Genomic DNA, 23,662 nt, shown 5'->3' on the forward strand with positions numbered 1-23,662 from the left:
ATAATAATTAACCTGCTGTCAACGTAAACCATACTTCATGGGGTAGCTCTCAGCCTGCATTGATGTGGGCTTTTTGGGTAGGGTTGCTTCATTGGTTGCAGTGGACTCATATCATAAAATTCTTACTCCTTTTTTTTTTTTTTTAAGAGATGGGGGTGTCATTCTGTTGTCCAGGGTGGAATGCAGTGGTGTGGGTAAAGCTTACTGCAGTCTCAATCTCCTGGGCTTATGCAATCCTCCCACCTCAGCCTTCACAGTAGCTAGGACTGAGGTGGGAGGGCTAGCAAGCTATGTTGCCCAGACTGGTCTCAAACGATCTTCCTGCTTCAGTTTCCCAAAGCACTGGGTGAGGTGTGAACCACCTCACCCAGCAAATTCTTACTCCTACGATCATTTATTCAGGTCATACTATGTTTGTAAGGGTAAACTGATAAAAAGGTAAATGTATTCTTCTTAGAGAAACAGCTGAAAGCCCAGATTTATTGCTTCTATTCTTCCATTTCTATGACAGGAAAACACCTCTTTGAGGTTATATTTTTCAGATCACAAGTGTGTAAAGTCTGTTTGTGTTTACAGATATTTTCTGACGAAGATTCAAACTTCAGTTATCCACTTCCAAACCCTAGTAAACCAATTTTTTCCCTTTAATGGTGAAAGTTGTCACATCTTTTATTCTCATATCTTCAAAGGTCTTAATTTCCTAATGCTTTAATGTTAAATTATGGAGAATAGTAGGACATTCTTCTTTTCTATAGTATATGCTTGCTCAAGAGAAGTTTCTAAGACTGGACACTGTGAAATGACAAAACAAGGAATTAAAAATATTTCTCTCACTTATATATTATTTCTGGCTCAATTCTCCAACTTTTGAGTCTAGAAATGAACTTGCATATCAGATATAATTTAAGAAAATATTCTCAGGAACTGCTGGGAAGATTCTAAAACTATTTTACTGTTTTTAGCTATAAGGAAGAGAATAATGTATTATTTAATGTTATTTTAAACATAGTGTTGTTTCAAATAGTAAATAACATTTCACAAGACATTTGAAAATAAGCTTTGAAGTTGACTCAAAATTCTATGCTAAACATGTGATCCATAGATACACTGATGACTGCTGGCATTTCTGTGGAAATGAAGAATTGTTTTATTTGTTTGTAATTATTTGGGTTTCAGTTGCTTTATTTTTAAGAAAAAAAAGCTGAAGTGTCTGGGAATCCTTTATGACATACAGACATTTTAATTATTTCAAACACGTTTTCCCCCTTAAGTGGGTAGCAAAAAAAATAAAGCATACTTCAGGCTCATATTTTTAACCATGCAACAAGAAAATTGTTACAATTTCTGTTCTGAGGAGTAGCCTTCATACTTAGTATTTATAAATATTGAAATGTATGTTAATTTGGGGAAAACATAACAGATATCCATGAAGGCTTGTATGTCATGGTAGGTAGTTACTATTCGATACCACAAAAATGTCTCTTGCCCTTAAAACCAGAACACGAGGCTCACCAGACAGATGACTGAATGGAGTATGGAAAATCTTTATTTCTGTTTTTCTTAGGCTATGTAGGACTTAACTTATTGTGCATTGGTAACAGATTGTAGAACATAAGCTGAAAGATAAAATTCTTGACCTTAATGTCTCATCTTAAAAAGAAGCATTGGTTGACATTCTATATCTCGTATTACTTAAAAATAATGGGGGAGCGCAGTATATATTAAACAAAGATTGGCTTTGTGGTGATCATTGTTGAAGGTGGGGTGATGGCTATGTGAAGGTTCACTATATATACTCCCTACTGTTGTATAAGTTTGAAATTGTGCATAATAGATTTATTTAAAACACAAAGCATAGAAATATCTACTATAATATTATGGTGAGAGCAAAATTTGAGGGGGATGTACACCTGCATTTTCGAAGAATATATACATTTCGGAGACCGAATTCAAAATGAAAAACCGGGCTGCTGTCCCGCACGGAGCCTCTGGGCGCCGCTGTCGGCCAGTGCAGAGCAAGCGCTGACGCCGGGGATCCGTCAGCCTCTGGCCTGGGATTCCCTGCGCAGCCAACAACAGAAAGAAGAAAACCAGCTCCCACACAGAGCCTCCCGGCTGCGCAGACCTTTCCCAGCACAGCGGATTGCCAGCTCCGAGACCCGGGACTCCTCCTGTCCTGGGCCGAATGCTCTTTTAGCGCGGTAGAGTGCACTTTCTCCAACTGGAAAAGCGGGGACCCAGCGAGAACCCGAGCGAACGATGGGAGGGAGCTGCGCGCAGAGGCGCCGGGCCGGCCCGCGGCAGGTGCTATTTCCTTTGCTGCTGCCTTTGTTCTACCCCACCCTGAGTGAGCCGATCCGCTACTCGATTCCGGAGGAGCTGGCCAAGGGCTCGGTGGTGGGGAACCTCGCTAAGGATCTAGGGCTCAGTGTCCTGGATGTGTCGGCTCGCAAGCTGCGAGTGAGCGCGGAGAAGCTGCACTTCAGCGTAGACGCGGAGAGCGGGGACTTACTTGTGAAGAACCGAATAGACCGTGAGCAAATATGCAAAGAGAGAAGAAGATGTGAGTTGCAATTGGAAGCTGTGGTGGAAAATCCTTTAAATATTTTTCATGTCATTGTGGTGATTGAGGATGTTAATGACCACGCCCCTCAATTTGATAAAAAGGAAATACATTTAGAAATTTTCGAATCTGCATCCGCTGGTACACGACTATCGCTTGACCCTGCCACGGATCCTGATATAAACATAAACTCAATTAAAGATTATAAGATAAACTCTAATCCTTATTTTTCATTAATGGTTAGAGTTAATTCCGATGGTGGCAAATACCCAGAGTTATCTCTGGAGAAACTCCTAGACCGGGAAGAACAGAGATCTCATAGCTTGATATTGACTGCCTTGGACGGAGGGGACCCACCAAGAAGTGCCACCGCTCACATAGAAATTTCTGTCAAGGATACCAATGATAACCCCCCGGTTTTCAGCAGAGACGAATATAGAATTAGTCTTAGTGAAAATCTGCCCCCTGGGTCCCCTGTGTTGCAAGTGACAGCCACTGACCAGGATGAGGGGGTCAATGCTGAGATAAACTACTACTTCCGAAGCACTGCCCAGAGCACAAAACATATGTTCTCATTGGATGAGAAAACAGGTATGATTAAGAATAACCAGTCATTTGATTTTGAAGATGTAGAAAGGTACACCATGGAAGTGGAAGCGAAGGACGGAGGTGGTCTCTCTACCCAGTGTAAAGTAATCATAGAAATCCTTGATGAAAACGACAACAGCCCAGAAATAATCATCACTTCTCTCTCTGATCAGATTTTGGAGAATTCACCTCCAGGAATGGTTGTTGCCCTCTTCAAAACACGGGATCTGGATTTCGGAGGAAATGGAGAAGTCAGGTGTAATATAGAAACAGACATTCCATTCAAGATTTATTCTTCTTCCAATAACTACTACAAACTGGTGACAGATGGAGCCCTGGACCGAGAGCAGACACCAGAATACAATGTCACCATCGTAGCCACTGACAGGGGCAAGCCGCCTCTTTCTTCCAGTAGAAGCATCACCTTGTATGTCGCTGACATCAACGACAACGCCCCAGTTTTCGACCAGACGTCCTACGTGGTCCACGTGGCCGAGAACAACCCGCCAGGAGCCTCCATTGCGCAAGTGAGCGCCTCTGACCCGGATTTGGGGCTCAATGGCCACATCTCCTACTCTATAGTGGCGAGTGACCTAGAGCCCCTGGCGGTGTCGTCATACGTGTCAGTGAGCGCGCAGAGCGGGGTGGTGTTCGCGCAGCGCGCCTTTGATCACGAGCAGCTGCGCGCCTTCGCGCTCACGCTGCAGGCCCGCGACCACGGCTCGCCCACGCTCAGCGCCAACGTGAGCCTGCGCGTGTTGGTGGGAGACCGCAATGACAACGCACCGCGGGTGCTGTACCCAGCTCTGGGTCCTGACGGCTCCGCGTTCTTCGATATGGTACCTCGCTCTGCAGAGCCCGGCTACCTAGTGACTAAGGTGGTAGCGGTGGACGCCGACTCGGGACACAACGCCTGGCTGTCCTACCACGTGCTGCAGGCCAGTGAGCCCGGACTCTTCAGCCTGGGGCTGCGCACTGGGGAGGTGCGCACGGCTCGAGCCTTAGGCGACAGGGACGCAGCCCGCCAGCGCCTGCTGGTCGCTGTGCGTGACGGTGGACAGCCGCCACTCTCTGCCACCGCCACGCTTCATCTGGTCTTCGCAGACAACTTGCAAGAGATACTGCCAGACCTCAGCGACCGCCCTGTACTCTCTGACCCCCAGGCTGAACTGCAGTTTTACCTGGTGGTGGCCTTGGCCTTAATCTCAGTGCTCTTCCTCCTCGCCGTGATTCTGGCCATTGCCTTGCGCCTGCGACGCTCTCTCAGCCCTGCTACTTGGGACTGCTTCCATCCTGGTCTCTGTGTCAAGTCTGGACCTGTAGTTCCCCCCAACTACAGTGAGGGGACTTTGCCTTATTCTTATAATCTGTGCATTGCACATACGGGTACAAAAGAGTTTAATTTCCTAAAATGCAGTGTGCCCCTACATTCCAATGAAGACATGGTTTGCAGTGTTTCTCCTGGAGCCTTAATTCCACCTCATGGTGGGGAGGATTTGACTTCACATCCTGAGACTCTGACTTCGGTGAGTTTCTCTTTTTTGTGTGTGATTTATCTAATAGTCTACTAGTTTCTCATATTTTAGGCATACTACTTTATTTTCATATCTAGAATCATATGTTTAAAATCCATAGCTTTTTACAATATTTTCTCAATGTTTTTTCAATTATAGTTTTCACTATGTATTTGGTTCATAAGTTGCTCTATCTTTTTGTAAAATAATGTCACCAGACTGAAGATATTTTGTCTTTGTCTTTTTTTTTTTTTTTTTTTTTTGAGATGGAGTCTCGCACTGTTGCCTAGGCTGGAGTGCAGTGGCGTGATCTCTGCTCACTGCAACCTCCGCCTTCTGGGTTCAAGCGATTCTCCTGCCTCAGCCTCCCAAGTAGCTGGGATTACTGGTGCCCCTCACCACAGCTAAATTTTTTGTATTTTTAGTAGACATGGGGTTTCACTATGTCGACCAGGCTGTTCAGAAACTCCTGTCCTCGTGATCCTCCCACCTTGGCCTCTCAAAGTGCTGGGATTACAGGCGTGAGCCACAATATTTTGTCAAGTTCTGACTATCGAACAGAAGCAGTGGTCTTGGCATCTAAGAAAACAAACAAGTAACCTATCTATTCAAATTTGCGAAGACTTAGTGAATTTACGATATCTTATTTATATATTTTTAAAGCCTAAAAATATTCAGAAGACAGGCCCAGTGGCTCACACCTATAATCACAGCACTTTGATAGGCTGAATCGGAAAGTATCACTTGAGCCCAAGAATTGAGACCAGCCTGGGCAATATAGGGAGACCCCCCATCTCTACTAAAACAACAACAACAAAAAAAAACATTAGCAGAGTGTGGTAGCATTCCCCTGTGGTCCCAGCTACTTGGGAGGCTGAGCTGGGTGGATTGCTTGGTCCTGGGAGGTCAAGGTTGCAGTGAGCCCTGATCTTGCCACTGCACTCCAGCCTGGGCGACAGAGTGCGACCCTGTCTCTAAAATAAATAAATAAATATGCAGGCAGGGCCAAGTGTGCTGTAATCCCAGCACTTTGGGAGGTGGAGGTGGAGAATCTCTTGAGCGCAGGAATTTGAGACCAGCCTGGGCAACACAGGGAGACTCCATCGCTACAGAACATTTAAAAATTAGCAGGGTGTGGTGGCACATGCCTGTGGTCTCAGCTACTCTGGTGGCTGTGGTGGGAGAATCGCTTGAGCCCAGGAAGTCTAGGCTGCAGTGAGCTGTCTAGGTGACAGAGTGAGACCCTGTCTCAAAAAAAAAAGACATTTCTAAGAAATAAATGAAATACTATTGCCTTTGCACTCAGTCTCTGTCTCTGATTCTCTGATAGAAGATTTTTGAAGAAAAAAGATAAAATCTTTGAAGAGTTCTATACTTGGAAGGCATAGTGACATAAACACTTCTGAACATCCTGTTCTCTGTGTGAAAGAAGTGAACTTCTATACCCTTTGCATTTGAGGGAACAATTGCTACTGGGTTGATGGGCACACACAGTTGAAGATATGTGAACCACTGGACTTTGGCCTCTGATACAAACTGCCTAAGAGAAGAGATTATTTATACTGGTATTAATGCTCTGATGAAAACAGGTCATTTGACATAAACACTTACTTGTTAAAAACCTATATCACTACATCTAACTTTGTTTTCTAAAACTTTTAGTACTTCAAATTCTACGTATTTCTTTTCTCATTACAATGCAAACAGTTTAATTTGCAACTGTAATATATGTTCATTTTAGTTTGTGATTACCTGCTTAATCATTTAAATAGGTCCATTTAACTTGTATCCCTGTAAGATAAAGTATGTTTTACACAAAAAGGTTAATTAAGGCTCAGTAAAACTATTCTAGAAGAGTACTTTAAAAACCTCTTACACAATCCTAAGCTAAATAAGTTTAATGAATTAAGTAGTTACAATTATAAAGCTTCAGAGTGAATTATCTCATGAGTTTATTTAATATAATCTTTGTATGAATGTATACTAAATAAAATTGGCCTATTCAAATCACAATTTTAAATTATAAGACTTTTCTGAATTTACCTAGACACTAATATGACCTAAAATAAGTATTATTTACCTTTTATTAAAGTGTGTACATTTCTGTTGGGAAAACGTGTTGCAAATATATATTTAACCAAACATTATCTTGAAATATTTACAATATTTTCACTCCACTTTATCACACCTCCCCTAAGAAACCTACATATAGTAAATTATTTAAAGATAGGAGTGGAGAAACCAAAGAATCTATGTAAAATATAATAATCCAACAGAATAGTTTACTTTCCATTGCATGTATCACTTGGGTGCAGTAACTTCTTAGGACTCTGAGCGCCGCTGTTCACCTACTAGGAGAGAAAACGCAGCCAGAGCTCAATCCGGATTCTCAGGGCTTCAACTACACAAGCCCCACAAACCGGCTGCTGGGCTGCAGGGAAGCTCACTCCAGAATTTAAAGTGCCCAGGCTACAGAGACACCCTGAAGCCACAGAAAGACAAAGGAACCGGTTGAAACACACAACGTGTCCAGTGAGGACTTTGCAGAATTCTGTAACCAGACTACAATGGCCGCTCAAAGGAATCGCTCAAAGGAATCAAAGGATTGCAGCGGGCTGGTCCTGCTCTGCCTTTTCTTCGGGATTCCATGGGAGGCTGGAGCCCGGCAGATCTCCTACTCAATTCCTGAGGAATTAGAGAAAGGCTCTTTCGTGGGCAACATCTCCAAGGACTTGGGTCTGGCGCCCCGGGAGCTGGCGGAGCGCGGAGTCCGCATAGTCTCCAGAGGTAGGACGCAGCTTTTCTCTCTGAACCCGCGCAGCGGCAGCTTGATCACCGCGGGCAGGATAGACCGGGAGGAGCTCTGCGCTCAGAGCGCGCGGTGCGTGGTGAGTTTTAATATCCTTGTGGAAGACAGGGTGAAACTTTTTGGGATAGAAATAGAAGTAACTGATATCAATGACAATGCTCCAAAATTCCAAGCAGAAAATCTAGACGTAAAAATTAATGAAAATGTCGCTGCGGGAATGCGTTTTCCTCTCCCGGAAGCTATTGATCCGGATGTGGGCGTGAACTCCCTGCAGAGCTATCAGCTCAGCCCCAATAAGCACTTCTCCCTAAGAGTTCAGAGCCGTGCCAATGGCGTCAAGTACCCGGAGCTGGTACTGGAGCACTCCCTAGATCGCGAGGAAGAGGCCATTCACCACCTGGTCCTCACCGCCTCCGACGGGGGTGACCCTCTCCGATCTGGCACTGTCCTTGTCAGTGTGACTGTCTTCGATGCAAATGACAACGCGCCGGTCTTCACCTTGCCAGAATACCGAGTGAGTGTTCCTGAGAATTTGCCTGTGGGCACTCAGCTGCTGACAGTCACAGCCACCGACAGGGACGAAGGTGCCAATGGAGAAGTGACATATTCATTCCGAAAATTACCTGACACGCAATTGTTGAAGTTCCAACTAAACAAATATACTGGAGAAATAAAAATATCAGAAAATCTAGATTATGAAGAAACCGGTTTCTATGAAATAGAAATACAAGCAGAAGATGGAGGAGCATATCTTGCAACTGCAAAAGTGTTGATTACAGTAGAAGATGTAAATGACAACAGTCCAGAGCTGACCATCACGTCTCTATTTAGTCCAGTGACTGAAGATTCACCTCTGGGAACAGTCGTAGCCCTTTTAAATGTGCATGATTTAGACTCTGAGCAGAATGGACAGGTAACCTGTTCCATTTTGGCGTATCTACCATTTAAATTAGAAAAGTCCATTGACAGTTATTACAGATTGGTGATACACAGAGCCCTTGACAGGGAACAGGTATCCTCTTACAATATCACAGTGACAGCCACAGATGGGGGAAGTCCTCCTCTATCAACGGAAGCTCACTTTATGCTACAAGTGGCAGATATCAATGACAACCCACCTACCTTCTCTCAAGTCTCCTACTTTACCTATATCCCAGAGAACAACGCCAGGGGTGCCTCCATCTTCTCAGTGACAGCGCTGGACCCGGACAGCAAAGAGAATGCCCAGATTATTTACTCCCTGGCTGAAGACACCATCCAGGGGGTACCTCTGTCCTCATACATATCCATCAACTCAGACACTGGCGTCCTGTATGCACTCAGATCCTTCGACTATGAGCAGTTTCATGAGCTACAGATGCAGGTGACAGCCAGCGACAGCGGGGATCCTCCACTCAGCAGCAACGTGTCGTTGAGCCTGTTTGTGCTGGACCAGAACGACAATGCGCCCGAGATCCTGTACCCCGCCCTCCCCACAGACGGTTCCACAGGCGTGGAGCTGGCGCCCCGCTCCGCAGAGCCCGGCTACCTGGTGACCAAGGTGGTGGCGGTGGACAGAGACTCCGGCCAGAACGCCTGGCTGTCCTACCGTCTGCTCAAGGCCAGCGAGCCGGGACTCTTCGCGGTGGGGGAGCACACGGGCGAGGTGCGCACGGCGCGAGCCCTGCTGGACAGAGACGCGCTCAAGCAAAGCCTCGTAGTGGCCGTCCAGGACCACGGCCAGCCCCCTCTCTCCGCCACTGTCACGCTCACCGTGGCCGTGGCCGACAGCATCCCCCAAGTCCTGGCGGACCTCGGCAGCTTCGAGTCTCCAGCTAACTCTGAAACCTCAGACCTCACTCTGTACCTGGTGGTAGCGGTGGCCGCGGTCTCCTGCGTCTTCCTGGCCTTCGTCATCGTGCTGCTGGCGCACAGGCTGCGGCGCTGGCACAAGTCACGCCTGCTGCAGGCTTCAGGAGGCGGCTTGACAGGTGTGTCCGGCTCGCACTTTGTGGGCGTGGACGGGGTTCGGGCTTTCCTGCAGACCTATTCCCACGAGGTCTCTCTCACCGCGGACTCGCGAAAGAGTCACCTGATCTTCCCCCAGCCCAATTATGCGGACACGCTCATCAGCCAGGAGAGCTGTGAGAAAAACGATCCTTTGTCTTTGTTAGATGATTCGAAGTTTCCTATAGAGGATACCCCATTGGTTCCAGTGAGTTTTATTTTCATTTTTACTTTTGTTAAAAAAAAAAAGATTGGTTTTTACTTTGAAGTTTGCGGCATGATGGTGGAAAGTGTAAATGCTAAAACACTGATGAGTAGAATTTGATGTTTATTAAGGTTTTTTTTTTTTTTTTTTTTTTTTTTTTTTTTACTTTCTGGTAAAATTCACCTAGTCTCAATCAAGGCCTATATATCATAAGGCTTTGTTATGATTAGCTTTGCAGAACCTTGTAGTTTATAGTGTTGTTGAGTACAATATTGACAATTCCTAAGACAGACTTCCATACAGAAGTGCCTGTCAATTTATATTTCCTCCTGGGTGGTCACATATTGAAACTCCAGCCCCTTAAGCAACCCTCTTGTTCTGAAGGCAGGTCTGGTAAGAATAGGTAAGTATCAGAAAGAAATCACCTCTGGAAACACAACCCAAATCCAAGAATACTCAATGCAGTTCTTCCCAAGGAGAAGGGCAATAGGCCTTTTTCAAACTACATTTTATATATTTTTCAATCTATACTTTGTGGTGATAGTTGCAGTTGAATATACTAAGTTTTTCATTAATATTGAATTAACAATTTATTTATAACAATGTATGCTTAGATTTTTCCAGCCCTATTTATAACTGATAACACTGCAGTATCCTTTTTGCATACAATTCTCTAATTTCACACTGCTATGTGGAAGATATAGCATTTTAATTTAACTTTCATTGCTCAATAGGGATCCTGAGGAGGCTATAGAGGGTGAAATTAAGAATATTTGGGATTCTGCTTTTGTCTTTTTTGTTAAATTTTCTAGTGACTAAGGCTGAAAGTAAATATGGGTTGGGAAGACAGATAAATTTGTACATGTTCCCGAGAACAGGAGCAAGAGATATATGACAAAGCTATTTCAGTGGCTCTTTAATGTATAAGGAGGCAAACACCTGAAACTCTGAAAACTCTGAAATTGAGAGGCAAAATAAACTTAGAGTCAAGAAAGAAATGCCATTTCTGCAGATCAGAATATAAACACCAACCACAGCTGTAAAAAAGAAAAGAATATATGCAACGAAGGGAAATTATATAAACAAAGGATCATTGGAGGTACTGATGAGTTCATTTAGTTCAATGAAAATAGTGACGTATTAGGTAGATCTCTTAATTTTATTACTAGTATTCTACTAAATGTGGTAGTATAAAGTCAAAAAGCATTCCGAAGTTTCTCAAGACCCTTATAATTCCATGATTTTTTTCAGGTCAGTCAACATTTGTTGAATGATAGGTCTGTGGAAGGAAAGCACACTCTTTAGGGTCATAGTTATTAACTATTAAACCATTGAAACTATTATTTTATATTTGTGTTAATGAGAGTCAAAATTATTGTGCATTCATCTCAAATAATTCTATTATTTTGAAAAATACAGGTTTTTTTTTTAAAAAAAACTGCTCTTGACATTGTAGCTATTGTGAGAAAATATTTTGATTATAATTATTTAAAAGCAATACAGGACACCCTGGATGATGGTAATGACTAGGGCAATGGTTGCATTCCAGTACTTAAGTATGAAATAAGGAATTATTACTTTCTGGGTGAATATAGGCTAGAATTGAAGACAAAAAAATTTGTTGCTTATCTTCAGTACTTCCAGCTTCATAGATAATTACTCTTAAAAGGAACAAGAATGACTGCCTCTGGATGGAGGAATTGGATAGCAATGGGCCGTGGGATAGGAGACCTATAAACCTTCATGCTATATTATTTTGTGCCTTTTTAAATTTTGAAGAAAAAATATTCATTTATTCAAGATATATGTAAATTCAGTAAATAAAAAGATATGATAGTTATGACCAAGTGGAAATATATTTCCTGATGTAAAAGGAATCACTGAGGAAAAAGATTAAAATATTTTGGCTGTCAACTCGTAGTTTAAAAAAAATTCCTTGAAAGAGGTAGAGAAAAGTCAAGTTGCAGTCCCACACAGAGCCTCTGGGCGCCGCCGTCGGCCAGTGCAGAGCAAGCGCTGACGCCGGGGATCCCTCAGCCTCTAGCCTGGGATTCCCTGCGCAGCCAACAACAGAAAAGAAAACCAGCTCCCACACAGAGGCTCCCGGCTGCGCAGACCTTGCCCAGCACACCAGATTGCCAGCTCCGAGACCCGGGACTCCTCCTGTCCTGGGCCGAATGCTCTTTTAGCGCGGTAGAGTGCACTTTCTCCAACTGGAAAAGCGGGGACCCAGCGAGAACCCGAGCGAACGATGGGAGGGAGCTGCGCGCAGAGGCGCCGGGCCGGCCCGCGGCAGGTACTATTTCCTTTGCTGCTGCCTTTGTTCTACCCCACGCTGTGTGAGCCGATCCGCTACTCGATTCCGGAGGAGCTGGCCAAGGGCTCGGTGGTGGGGAACCTCGCTAAGGATCTAGGGCTTAGTGTCCTGGATGTGTCGGCTCGCGAGCTGCGAGTGAGCGCGGAGAAGCTGCACTTCAGCGTAGACGCGCAGAGCGGGGACTTACTTGTGAAGGACCGAATAGACCGTGAGCAAATATGCAAAGAGAGAAGAAGATGTGAGTTGCAATTGGAAGCTGTGGTGGAAAATCCTTTAAATATTTTTCATGTCATTGTGGTGATTGAGGATGTTAATGACCACGCCCCTCAATTCCGGAAAGATGAAATAAACTTAGAAATCAGTGAATCCGTCAGCCTGGGGATGGGAACAATTCTTGAGTCTGCAGAAGATCCTGATATTAGTATGAATTCGCTGAGCAAATACCAACTAAGTCCTAACGAGTATTTCTCATTGGTGGAGAAAGACAATCCTGATGGTGGCAAATATCCAGAATTAGTATTGCAGAAGACTCTGGACCGAGAAACGCAGAGCGCTCACCACTTGGTACTGACCGCCTTAGATGGTGGGGACCCTCCCCGAAGCGGTACTGCTCAGATAAGAATCCTGGTAATAGATGCCAATGACAACCCCCCAGTGTTCAGCCAGGACGTGTACAGGGTTAGCCTTCGGGAAGACGTGCCTCCAGGCACCTCCATCCTGAGAGTGAAGGCCACTGACCAGGACGAGGGCATCAACTCAGAGATCACTTATTCCTTCTTTGGTGTGGCTGACAAAGCTCAGCACGTGTTCTCTCTGGATTACACTACAGGAAACATTCTAACTCAGCAGCCTTTGGATTTTGAAGAAGTAGAAAGATATACGATAAACATAGAAGCAAAAGACCGAGGATCTCTCTCAACACGGTGTAAAGTAATTGTAGAAGTTGTAGACGAAAACGACAACAGCCCAGAAATAATCATCACGTCACTCTCTGATCAGATTATGGAGGATTCCCCTCCAGGAGTGGTTGTTGCCCTCTTCAAAACACGGGACCAAGACTCAGGGGAAAATGGGGAAGTCAGGTGTAGCTTAAGTAGAGGTGTTCCATTTAAGATTCATTCTTCTTCTAATAATTACTACAAGCTAGTAACAGATGAGGCCCTGGATCGGGAGCAGACCCCAGAGTACAACGTCACCATCGCAGCCACAGACAGGGGCAAGCCTCCGTTATCCTCCAGCAAAACCATAACCCTGCACATTACTGACGTCAATGACAACGCGCCGGTTTTCGGACAGTCAGCCTACCTGGTCCACGTGCCAGAAAACAACCAGCCGGGTGCCTCCATAGCGCAAGTCAGTGCCTCTGACCCAGACTTCGGGCTCAACGGCCGTGTCTCCTACTCTCTCATTGCCAGCGACCTGGAGTCACGAACGCTGTCGTCCTACGTGTCCGTGAGCGCGCAGAGCGGGGTGGTGTTCGCGCAGCGCGCCTTCGACCACGAGCAGCTGCGCACCTTCGAGCTCACGCTGCAGGCCCGCGACCAGGGCTCGCCCGCGCTCAGCGCCAATGTGAGCCTGCGCGTGTTGGTGGGCGACCGTAACGACAACGCACCGCGGGTGCTGTACCCTGCGCTGGGTCCCGACGGCTCCGCGCTCTTCGACACAGTGCCGCGGGCCGCGCAGCCAGGCTACCTGGTGACCAAGGTGGTGGCCGTGGACGCGGACTCGGGGCACAATGCCTGGCTGTCCTACCACGTGGTGCAGGCCAGTGAGCCCGGGCTCTTCAGCCTGGGGCTGCGAACAGGCGAGGTGCGCATGGTGCGTGCTTTGGGTGACAAGGACTCGGTCCGCCAGCGCCTGCTAGTCGCTGTAAGAGATGGAGGACAGCCACCCCTTTCAGCCACTGCCACGCTGCACCTGGTGTTCGCAGATAGCTTGCAAGAGGTACTGCCGGATTTCAGCGACCATCCCACACCCTCTGACTCCCAGGCTGAGATGCAGTTTTACCTGGTGGTGGCCTTGGCCTTGATTTCTGTGCTCTTTCTCCTCGCGGTGATTCTAGCTATTGCTCTACGCCTGCGACAGTCTTTCAGCCCTACTGCAGGAGACTGCTTTGAGTCAGTTCTCTGCTCCAAGTCCGGACCTGTGGGTCCCCCCAACTACAGTGAGGGAACGTTGCCCTATGCCTATAATTTTTGTGTGCCTGGGGATCAAATGAATCCAGAATTTAATTTTTTCACATCTGTTGATCATTGTCCAGCCACACAAGATAACCTCAACAAAGATAGCATGCTACTGGCTAGCATTTTAACTCCCAGCGTTGAAGCAGATAAGAAGATTCTTAAACAGGTAAGTATTTAAAAATGTATTTAATCCTTTTTATATTACAATATGCCAATATATTCCAATATAGTGGTATTATTTTAAGATTCTAGATAACTTCTTCATAGAGTTCGCAAAATATAGGTCAAATTTATGGTTATCATTATTAAAACAAAAGTTTAAATTAAATGCCTCAGTCTTCCTACTATTCAAAGACATTTTAAAGCAAACTACATGGGTAATCTCCGGTGACATTTTTATGAAGTAAAATACCTTTCGGTTAAAAATATAAAATACAGGTATATTTTTACGGCATGGTATTTTAATTGAAACCCTGATGCTACTCAATTTTTCTCAAGTATTTCATCTTCATTTACTCAATAAAGGAACCTTGTAAGAATTATAGTTAGGCATCCTACCTGATGATTTTATCGGGACCGTATTATTTCCACTTCCAGAAATGTCGTTCCTTTCAGTCGGTTAAAATCAATTGGAACCAACTACAACCTACAAGTTTTCAGCTCCAGTAATATTTTGAAAACTTTTTAAAAATTAAGCAAGCCCTTTTAATAATTACTCCTTTCGCAGGTGTTCTTGGTAAAGTTTTAACGTCACATAATGTAAGTATTGTGTATCATCGTTTTTAAGCTCTACAAATACGTGTGATTCACAAAGGTGAGCGTAATCATTTCTTCTGGAATTTCTTAGTCGTTGCAATAATAAGAATGGGCTCTAGGCGCCGCTGCTCACCAATCAGGGAATGGGAAGCTGCGCGCCATTGAGTCCCTCCCTCCCCCGCCTCTACCACACAAAGCGGAATGAGATGGATACTCACAGATCCTGACACTGGAGACTTAGAAGTATTTTCCTTCGCTTTCTGATATATTTTGGATGTAGTCGGCCTAGGACTTCATAGATACATAAGCCGATTCACAACCAACCAGCTCGAGAAACCGCGGAATATCGGCTTAGAGCCTGCCATGGCGAATCGGCTACAGCGCGGGGACCGCAGTCGGCTGCTGCTGCTGCTGTGCATTTTCCTGGGGACGCTGCGGGGGTTCCGGGCCAGGCAGATCCGATATTCGGTGCCAGAAGAGACCGAAAAGGGCTCCTTCGTGGGCAATATCTCCAAGGACCTGGGGCTGGAGCCCCGGGAGCTGGCGAAGCGCGGAGTCCGCATCGTCTCCAGAGGGAAGACACAGCTTTTCGCTGTGAATCCGCGAAGCGGCAGCTTGATCACGGCAGGCAGGATAGACCGGGAGGAGCTCTGTGAGACGGTGTCCTCCTGTTTTTTAAATATGGAACTTCTCGTGGAAGACACCTTGAAGATTTACGGAGTGGAGGTGGAAATAATAGATATTAATGATAACGCCCCCAGCTTCCAGGAGGACGAAGTGGAGATAAAAGTCAGTGAGCACGCAATTCCTGGGGCGCGATTTGCTCTTCCTAATGCTAGGGATCCAGATGTGGGCGTGAACTCCCTCCAGAGCTACCAGCTCAGCCCTAATAATTACTTTTCCTTGCAACTGCGGGGCAGAACGGATGGGGCCAAGAATCCAGAGCTAGTACTGGAGGGAAGCCTGGACCGAGAGAAAGAGGCTGCTCACCTGCTCCTCCTCACAGCTTTAGATGGAGGCGATCCCATCCGAAAGGGCGCAGTTCCCATTCGTGTGGTGGTCCTCGATGTAAATGATCACATCCCAATGTTTACACAGTCCGTATATCGCGTGAGTGTTCCAGAAAACATCAGCTCCGGAACTCGGGTGCTGATGGTTAATGCAACGGATCCAGACGAGGGAATCAACGGGGAAGTAATGTATTCATTTCGGAACATGGAAAGCAAGGCTTCTGAAATATTCCAATTGGATTCACAAACTGGAGAAGTTCAAGTACGGGGGTCTCTGGATTTTGAAAAATATAGATTCTATGAGATGGAAATTCAAGGCCAAGATGGTGGAGGTCTCTTTACCACCACGACGATGTTGATCACTGTTGTGGATGTGAATGATAACGCTCCAGAAATAACTATCACCTCTTCTATTAATTCAATTCTGGAAAACTCTCCTCCAGGTACAGTGATTGCTCTTCTAAATGTGCAAGATCAAGATTCTGGAGAAAATGGTCAAGTCTCCTGTTTTATTCCTAACCACCTGCCTTTTAAATTAGAAAAGACTTATGGAAATTATTACAAATTGATAACAAGCAGAGTGCTGGACAGGGAGTTGGTCCAGAGCTACAATATAACGTTGACAGCCACAGACCAGGGAAGCCCGCCTTTGTCTGCAGAAACTCATGTCTGGCTGAATGTGGCAGATGACAACGATAACCCTCCCGTTTTTCCTCACTCCTCTTACTCTGCCTACATTCCCGAAAACAACCCCAGGGGTGCCTCCATCTTCTCAGTGACCGCCCTCGACCCGGACAGCAAACAGAATGCCCTGGTCACTTACTCTCTGACGGATGACACTGTCCAGGGGGTGCCTCTGTCCTCCTATGTCTCTATTAACTCCAACACTGGTGTTCTCTATGCCCTACAATCCTTCGACTATGAGCAGTTTCGAGACTTAGAACTGAGAGTGATAGCACGTGACAGCGGGGACCCGCCCCTCAGCAGCAACGTGTCGCTGAGCCTGTTCGTGCTGGACCAGAACGACAATGCGCCCGAGATCCTGTACCCTGCCCTCCCCACAGACGGCTCCACTGGCGTGGAGCTGGCGCCCCGCTCTGCGGAACCTGGCTACCTGGTGACCAAGGTGGTTGCGGTGGACAAAGATTCAGGCCAGAACGCCTGGCTGTCCTATCGCCTGCTTAAGGCCAGCGAGCCGGGACTCTTCGCGGTGGGGGAGCACACGGGCGAGGTGCGTACAGCGCGGGCACTGCTGGACAGAGACGCGCTCAAGCAGAGCCTCGTGGTGGCCGTCCAGGACCACGGCCAGCCCCCTCTCTCGGCCACCGTCACGCTCACCGTGGCTGTGGCCGACAGCATCCCCGAAGTCCTGGCGGACCTCGGCAGCCTCGAGTCTCTGGCTAACTCTGAAACCTCAGACCTCTCGCTGTACTTGGTGGTGGCGGTGGCCGCAGTCTCCTGCATCTTCCTGGTCTTTGTCATCGTGCTGCTGGCACTCAGGCTGTGGCGCTGGCATAAGTCACGCCTGCTGCAGGCTTCTGAAGGCGGGTTGGCAGGTATGCCCACGTCACATTTTGTAGGCGTGGACGGGGTACAGGCTTTCCTGCAAACCTATTCCCACGAGGTCTCTCTCATTGCGGACTCGCAGAAGAGTCACCTGATTTTCCCCCAGCCCAACTATGGGGACACGCTCATCAGCCAGGAGAGCTGTGAGAAAAGCGAGCCACTCTTGATAGCTGAAGACTCAGCTATCATTTTAGGCAAATGTGACCCGACAAGTAATCAGGTGAGATTTATTTCTCTGCCTCCTAATTGTTGGTGTCTTGGCACAAGTCTTTTAAGGAGATGTTTTTTGAGCCTGTTATGAAAACTGTTTGGGGGGGGGGTGGGGCGGCATATATTTAGTTCATATATATTTAGAGCAATACATGTGAGTTTTACTTTGCCTTTCATGAGATTACGATAATCTTTCAGAACGTTTTTGTGAAAGTCATTTTTCAATCTTGGCATATTTTCTTTTGATTTCAAAGGGGCCATTCAACTATGCTGGTTTGGTTTGAAGTAAGTTGAATTTTAGTATTATTTTTCTATTATCAGTGTATGAGGCTCTCAATTTATTATATATAGATACAAATTAATGATTCACAAACACTTTTTATTTCCATTTCAATTTTGCTGTGCCTTCACTGATTTGTAGTTATATTCCACCATTATTTGCTATTACTGCTAATGTTCAAATTTTGATCCTGTTGATTTAATAGCATGCTCCCTCTAGCTCTCCTTCTCATCTATCTATCTATACACATGCACACACACTTATACACGTAAGCTTTTCTCTGAGCAATTTTATTTTGATTCTTGGTGGCTGGTAATATGCTTAGATCCTGTTGACTATTTCAACTTTGTCTCATTTCTTCATCCTATCAACACAGACATATTGACTGGCTTTTAACTACTGGATTTCCTTGGGAGATAAAATTTAGATCACATTTTTTCTTAAGCTCTAGATGTCTTTTCCATTACTATGGTGAAGTTACATTGACTGTTCTGAGGAAATAATTGAATTATTGAACTGGTATTATTTCCTTTTATTCTTTTACTTTGGTGTCTGTGTTTGTATGTATGGAAGGTTTTTTAATGTAGTAAATCCATATATAGAAATAACTTGATTTTGATTCAGTGCTTCTCAAAAACCTATTTTCAAATGTGCTAAAGATGTCTACAGATTTATTCAAATAGAGTAGTTTGTGAATATATAAATAGATTGAAGGTATTTGGACTTTAATTAAACTGATTTAGCTAGTATCCTTCTGGCTATTTTTTTGTTCATTTTCAGTGTAGTTGGGAGTCATAGATTCCTTCTTTCTTTCTTTATAAGGTCATTCTTATGGCAAATAGTACATTCAGTTCTTTTATTCAGACCAACTTGTTATTGAAGCTTGATAGTTGCCTGACATACATGTTATCTGAAGCAATGTCTAGGAAAGCCAAATGAGGAAAGGAGACTTATCTAGGGTTTTTGATCACAGGAATCATTTCCATAATCAATTCAGTCAACACTCTCACATCACTTCTAGGTATTTGCCCCAAATTACTTGGATATTTATGTTCCCTTTCAAGTTTAGTTTTCTCATTTAGGAATTTACCTTATGTCATTAGTTGTAAACTGACTATCTAGGGCTCGGACAAAAATAATTTCAACTGTAGGAAAGGCAAGTCTTCCAACAGATGCCTACATTTTTCTTGAAGTCAAGAAAAATGTTCAGGTATTTTGAGCATCTAGGGATAGGATTTATACTTGTGGAATTCCAAACTGAGAAAAATGATGTAAGGCATTGTACTTTGACTGGAATTAGTTAAATAAAAAGGATATGAGGTATTTGGCTGGGAAAAGGAGATTGTTCCATATTATAAAACCTCATCTAAACTAACTTCCCAAGATCGTGGAGAACAAAAAGGAAGGGTTGGCTTTGAAATGTGATATTAAGAGGGTTATGTTGATTCGGAGGTAGTGATAAAGTTCTGTTAAGGTATAACATATAGTCCCATTAAATAGAGGATAAAAATAAAACACCATCACATTTCATGTTATTAATTCCTATGGCAACCTACTAGGCTATACCTTTATATTCTCTTTATGATGAAACATGAAACAATAATCCTTTTCAGAAACCTCTTTTATAAGTGATAAGAAGGGTTTGGCTAACTTTATTCTGAATATGCCCTATATAGCTTTCAGTGCTCCTCCAGTTTTCTCTGATAAAACTAGGAGGAAAATTATCTGCACATCAGATTGAAAATAATACTGCATATCATTTCATAGTGGTCAAAATTTTCCCATACCACTTGATGGGGATGTTTTCCCACAAGGTTTTTGTTCTACAACAGGAGAGAAGACTTTGCCTAGTTCTTCCAATATGTGCATTGCTTCTGCTTAGAAAAAAACAAACTTTTAAATTCTCTTTGCTGGGTTAATGACTGTTCTATAGATTCCCATCTCTAAGGAATCTTCTTTGGTAGTAAACACTGGAAAACAGTCACTACGAAAACTCATAAAATGTCTAGTTTCCTATACATTAGTCCAACACATCAGTCTAATTCTGAATCCCATTGAATTAGCAAAGGCTTCCGGCTGCAGTTTTCTAAATAGACTCAGAGCCCTGCTGTTGGCCAATGTGCTGCAAGAACTGGAGCCTGGGATCTACCAGGACGATATTCTGTTCAGTCACAGAAGCAAGTCGGAGAGTGGCCAAGACTTGGGCTTTCTGCTCCTGCAAATCTGATTCCATACGGATTGGGGTGCCCTCAAACTGGGAGCATTGAGTTTTCTATGTATGGAAGTAAATATTTTAAAAGCACTTTGTGAAACATTTTCTCTTAACGTCGGAGACTGCAGCAACGCATGGGAAGGATGGGAAACAGGGTGAAGCAGAGAAGCAGGACCCGGCAGTGGCAAGCACTCTTCCCTTTCCTGCTGCCTTTGTTCTGCGGGGCACCCTCGGAGCAGATCCGCTACTCTATTCCAGAAGAAACGGTCCAGGGCTCCGTGGTGGGGAACCTTGCGGAGGACATGCGGCTGCATGTTCAGGATTTATTGACCTGAAACCTTAGAGTTAGTGCAGAGAAACAATACTTTACCGTGAACACGGAGAATGGGAACATACTTGTGAGTGACAGAATAGATCGAGAGTCACTGTCTTCAAAATCCTCTGTGTCATACCCTTAGAGATTGTAGCAGAGAATCCTCTAAATGTTTTTCACATAAATGTGATGATAGAAGATATAAATGATAACCCACCTCATTTTCCCCAAAATAGCATTGTTTTACAAATCAATGAACTAGCAATTCCAGGCATTCGGTTTGGCCTGGAATCTGCTATAGATGCAGATGTAGGGCCTCACTCTCTCCAGAGTTACCAGCTCAGTTCTAATGAACATTTCTCTCTGATGATGGACAAGACTAAAGGCAAGAACGCTCCAGAATTAGTGCTGGAGAAGCCCCTGGGCCAGGAGCAACAGAGCTCTCATCTCCTGGTCCTGGAAGCAATGGACATGGGTGACCCAGTCCCAACTGGCACTGCTGCAATTCAAATTGAGGTCACTGATGCCAACGATAATGCCCCAGTTTTTAGCCAGGATGTATACAAAGTCAGCCTTAGAGAGAATGTGCCCCCAGGCACCTCTGTACTAAAGGTGACAGCCACTGACCAGGATGAGGGTGTCAATGCGGAGATCACCTACTCTTTCAAATCCCTACGAGATGATATTGGAAATATGTTTGTGCTAGACCATCAAAATGGGGAAATTAAATCCAAAGACTTAATAGACTTCGAATTTCGTAGCAGTTATACCATGAGAGTAGAAGCTAAGGATGGTGGAGGCATGACCAGCGAATGTAAAATTATACTAGAAATCCTAGATGAGAATGACAATGCCCCAGACGTGGTTTTTACTTCAGTGTCCAGTTCTGTAACTGAGGACGCAGAACCCTGGACGGTGATCACTCTGTTCAAAACACATGATAAAGATTCGAGAGAAAATGGGGAGGTTACATGCCTCATAAACGAAAGAGTTCCTTTTAGAATCGAATCTTCCGCCAATAATGACTATAAGCTTGTAACAGATGGGACCCTGGATTGGGAGCGGATCCCGGAGTACAACGTCACCATCACTGCCACTGACAAGGGCAAGCCTCCGCTCTCATCCAGCACAAGCCTCACCCTACGCATTGGTGAAGTCAACGACAATGCTCCGGTTTTCCACCAAGTCTCCTACGTGGTCCACGTGGCCGAAAACAACCTTCCCGGAGCCTCCATCCCACAAGTCAGCGCCTCTGACCTGGACCTAGGGCTGAATGGCCAAGTCTCCTACTCCATCGTTACCACTGACTTGGAGCTGCGGGCACTGTCGTCCTACGTGTCCGTGAGCGCACAGAGCGGGGTGGTGGTCGCGCAGCGTGCCTTCGACCACGAGCAGCTGTGCGCCTTCGAGCTCACGATGCAGGCCCACGACCAGGGCTCGCCCGCGCTCAGCGCCAACATGAGCCGGCGCATGTTGGTGGGCGACCTCAATGACAATGTGCCGCGGGTGCTGTACCCCGCGCTGGGGCCCGATGGCTCCGCACTCTTCGATATAGTGCCACGCGCCGCAGAGTCCGGCTACCTGGTGACCAAGGTGGTGGCGGTGGACGCAGATTCGGGACACAACGCTTGGCTGTCCTACCACGTGCTGCAGGCCATCGAGCCCGGGCTTTTCAGCCTGGGGCTGCACACGGGAACCTGCTGGTTGCTGTGCGTGACGGAGGACAGCCGCCGCTCTCTGCGCCGCTACGCTTCACCTAGTCTTCGCAGACAGCCTGCAGGAGGCACTGCCAGACTTCAGTGACAGTCCTGTGCCCTCTGATTCCCAAGCAAAGCTGCAGATTTACCTGGTCGTGGCCTTGGCCTTGATTTCTATGCTCTTCTTCCTCGCAGTGATTTTGGCGGTCGCCTTGCACCTGCGATGCTCTTCCAGCCCCTCTGCCTGGGGTTGCTTTCACCCTGGTCTCTGTTCTAAGACTAGACCAGGGGTTTTTCCCAACTACAATGAGGGAACTTTGCTTTATTCCTGCAATCTGTATGTTCCCTCGGATTCTAGAAAAAGAAGATTTAATTTTCTCACCATGACACCAGAAACAGTCCCCCCACAAGATCTTTCTAATGAAGTTTCTCTGGTAGCAAGCTTCACTGAAGAGAATAACAAGATAAGCTCTAACTCTGTTGCTCCTACTCACGTGAGTTCCAATGAATGTCTTTCATTTACAAATGGATGAGGTTTAATTTTCAAACCAATATTTTGGCAAGAAAATCTTAAACATATTATATCTACTATTGCTTCAGGTTTGTTTGCCCACTCTTAATATTTCCTGTTCCTTTCTGTGTGGGCCAGTAACTTCATTATTAGCTTTCATGTATTTTTGAAACATTTTCACCATTTTTACGGGAGACTTTTTTTTTTTTTGGACGGAGTCTCGCTCTGTGGTCCAGGCTGGAGTGCAGTGGCATGATCTCGGCTCACTGCAAGCTCTGCCTTCCGGGTTCTGGCCATTCTCCCGCCTCAGCCTCCCGGGTAGCTGGGACTACAGGCGCCCGCCACCACGCCCGGCTAATTTTTTGCATTTTTAGTACAGACGGGGTTTCACCGTGTTAGCCAGGATGGTCTCGATTTCCTGACCTCGTGATCTGCCCGCCTCGGCCTCCCAAAGTGCTGGGATTATAGGCGTGAGCCACTGCACCCGGCCCGGAGACATTGTTTATACACACACACACACACACACACACACACACACACACGTGTGAAAAGTGGGTATTATGATACTGCTGTCATTGAGATATTTTAATTGAGGAATAAATTTTTTTCCTGTGATGTTTCTTGGGACATCAATATTTGAGTATATAAGGCTTTTTCTTTAATCCATTAACTATAAATTTTGAAGAAAATGCATGAGAAAATGGAGAAAATGTGTTTTTTTTTTAAAAAAAATTGAGATTAAGGTCTCATTATGTTGCCCAGGCTGGACTCAAACTCTTGGGCTACAGTAATCCTCCCACCTCAATCTCCAGAGTAGCTGAGACTACAGTTGCCTGAAACTGTGCCTGGCAGAGAAAAAAGCTTAAAAAAATAAGAACATGGTAATGATTTGATAATATTCAGTTACATTTACTTTTGATTCTTGTAATTCAAGTAAACTCA

At 45.3% G+C, this 23,662-nt stretch overlaps 18 protein-coding genes, 1 pseudogene and 1 further gene across 25 annotated transcripts in view, besides 1 other annotated feature; all 20 read left to right on the forward strand.

Moving 5' to 3' along the window:
• The window catches only part of PCDHGA1 (protocadherin gamma subfamily A, 1), a 182,462-nt gene that overhangs the window by 75,430 nt on the left and 83,370 nt on the right, over positions 1 to 23,662 (forward strand). The gene's annotated exons all lie outside the window — the stretch shown is intronic.
• Positions 1 to 23,662, forward strand: part of PCDHG@ (protocadherin gamma cluster) — a 182,295-nt gene that overhangs the window by 75,259 nt on the left and 83,374 nt on the right.
• Positions 1 to 23,662, forward strand: part of PCDHGA2 (protocadherin gamma subfamily A, 2) — a 174,216-nt gene that overhangs the window by 67,184 nt on the left and 83,370 nt on the right. The window lies entirely within an intron of this gene.
• Positions 1 to 23,662, forward strand: part of PCDHGA3 (protocadherin gamma subfamily A, 3) — a 169,147-nt gene that overhangs the window by 62,115 nt on the left and 83,370 nt on the right. The gene's annotated exons all lie outside the window — the stretch shown is intronic.
• The window catches only part of PCDHGB1 (protocadherin gamma subfamily B, 1), a 162,877-nt gene that overhangs the window by 55,845 nt on the left and 83,370 nt on the right, over positions 1 to 23,662 (forward strand). The gene's annotated exons all lie outside the window — the stretch shown is intronic.
• PCDHGA4 (protocadherin gamma subfamily A, 4) overlaps positions 1 to 23,662 on the forward strand; it is a 157,955-nt gene that overhangs the window by 50,923 nt on the left and 83,370 nt on the right. The window lies entirely within an intron of this gene.
• Positions 1 to 23,662, forward strand: part of PCDHGB2 (protocadherin gamma subfamily B, 2) — a 152,982-nt gene that overhangs the window by 45,950 nt on the left and 83,370 nt on the right. The window lies entirely within an intron of this gene.
• PCDHGA5 (protocadherin gamma subfamily A, 5) overlaps positions 1 to 23,662 on the forward strand; it is a 148,814-nt gene that overhangs the window by 41,782 nt on the left and 83,370 nt on the right. The window lies entirely within an intron of this gene.
• PCDHGB3 (protocadherin gamma subfamily B, 3) overlaps positions 1 to 23,662 on the forward strand; it is a 142,734-nt gene that overhangs the window by 35,702 nt on the left and 83,370 nt on the right. The window lies entirely within an intron of this gene.
• PCDHGA6 (protocadherin gamma subfamily A, 6) overlaps positions 1 to 23,662 on the forward strand; it is a 139,085-nt gene that overhangs the window by 32,053 nt on the left and 83,370 nt on the right. The gene's annotated exons all lie outside the window — the stretch shown is intronic.
• The window catches only part of PCDHGA7 (protocadherin gamma subfamily A, 7), a 130,234-nt gene that overhangs the window by 23,202 nt on the left and 83,370 nt on the right, over positions 1 to 23,662 (forward strand). The window lies entirely within an intron of this gene.
• The window catches only part of PCDHGB4 (protocadherin gamma subfamily B, 4), a 125,278-nt gene that overhangs the window by 18,246 nt on the left and 83,370 nt on the right, over positions 1 to 23,662 (forward strand). The window lies entirely within an intron of this gene.
• PCDHGA8 (protocadherin gamma subfamily A, 8) overlaps positions 1 to 23,662 on the forward strand; it is a 120,343-nt gene that overhangs the window by 13,311 nt on the left and 83,370 nt on the right. The gene's annotated exons all lie outside the window — the stretch shown is intronic.
• Positions 1 to 23,662, forward strand: part of PCDHGB5 (protocadherin gamma subfamily B, 5) — a 115,029-nt gene that overhangs the window by 7,997 nt on the left and 83,370 nt on the right. The window lies entirely within an intron of this gene.
• Positions 1 to 23,662, forward strand: part of PCDHGA9 (protocadherin gamma subfamily A, 9) — a 110,198-nt gene that overhangs the window by 3,166 nt on the left and 83,370 nt on the right. The gene's annotated exons all lie outside the window — the stretch shown is intronic.
• The window catches only part of PCDHGB6 (protocadherin gamma subfamily B, 6), a 104,955-nt gene continuing 83,370 nt past the window's right edge, over positions 2,078 to 23,662 (forward strand). The window contains exons 1-2 of one of the 3 annotated variants that reach the window (NM_001386906.1): positions 2,078 to 4,677; positions 5,996 to 6,678. In NM_001386906.1, the coding sequence (NP_001373835.1) occupies positions 2,260 to 4,677; positions 5,996 to 6,019 (2,442 nt within the window). In that variant the 5' untranslated portion in view covers positions 2,078 to 2,259 and the 3' untranslated portion in view covers positions 6,020 to 6,678. Of the gene's footprint in view, positions 4,723 to 5,995; positions 6,679 to 23,662 lie in introns of those variants that run through there. The other 2 variants (NM_018926.3, NM_032100.1) reach the window with 2 other exon arrangements.
• Positions 2,487 to 2,536: an enhancer, noted in NCBI's record as "active region_23295". NCBI's record gives its function as "activates an Ori minimal core promoter by ATAC-STARR-seq in GM12878 lymphoblastoid cells {active_cell/tissue: GM12878}" and the evidence as "EXISTENCE:reporter gene assay evidence [ECO:0000049][PMID:35858748]".
• PCDHGA10 (protocadherin gamma subfamily A, 10) overlaps positions 7,044 to 23,662 on the forward strand; it is a 99,989-nt gene continuing 83,370 nt past the window's right edge. Inside the window, exon 1 of one of the 2 annotated variants that reach the window (NM_018913.3) lies at positions 7,044 to 9,668. In NM_018913.3, coding sequence (NP_061736.1) covers positions 7,233 to 9,668 — 2,436 coding nt within the window. In that variant the 5' untranslated portion in view covers positions 7,044 to 7,232. Of the gene's footprint in view, positions 11,509 to 23,662 lie in introns of those variants that run through there. The other variant, NM_032090.2, reaches the window with a different exon arrangement.
• PCDHGB7 (protocadherin gamma subfamily B, 7) overlaps positions 11,734 to 23,662 on the forward strand; it is a 95,299-nt gene continuing 83,370 nt past the window's right edge. Inside the window, exon 1 of one of the 2 annotated variants that reach the window (NM_018927.4) lies at positions 11,734 to 14,331. In NM_018927.4, coding sequence (NP_061750.1) covers positions 11,917 to 14,331 — 2,415 coding nt within the window. In that variant the 5' untranslated portion in view covers positions 11,734 to 11,916. Of the gene's footprint in view, positions 14,494 to 23,662 lie in introns of those variants that run through there. The other variant, NM_032101.3, reaches the window with a different exon arrangement.
• PCDHGA11 (protocadherin gamma subfamily A, 11) overlaps positions 15,108 to 23,662 on the forward strand; it is a 91,925-nt gene continuing 83,370 nt past the window's right edge. Inside the window, exon 1 of one of the 3 annotated variants that reach the window (NM_018914.3) lies at positions 15,108 to 17,717. In NM_018914.3, the coding sequence (NP_061737.1) occupies positions 15,285 to 17,717 (2,433 nt within the window). In that variant the 5' untranslated portion in view covers positions 15,108 to 15,284. Of the gene's footprint in view, positions 18,737 to 23,662 lie in introns of those variants that run through there. The other 2 variants (NM_032092.2, NM_032091.2) reach the window with 2 other exon arrangements.
• Positions 20,343 to 22,315, forward strand: PCDHGB8P (protocadherin gamma subfamily B, 8 pseudogene; annotated as a pseudogene). The gene has a single exon (NR_001297.1). The product of NR_001297.1 is annotated as a protocadherin gamma subfamily B, 8 pseudogene (transcript).

Source organism: Homo sapiens, chromosome 5 (genome assembly GCF_000001405.40).
Source record: "Homo sapiens chromosome 5, GRCh38.p14 Primary Assembly".
NCBI classification, from domain to species: Eukaryota; Metazoa; Chordata; class Mammalia; order Primates; family Hominidae; genus Homo; species Homo sapiens.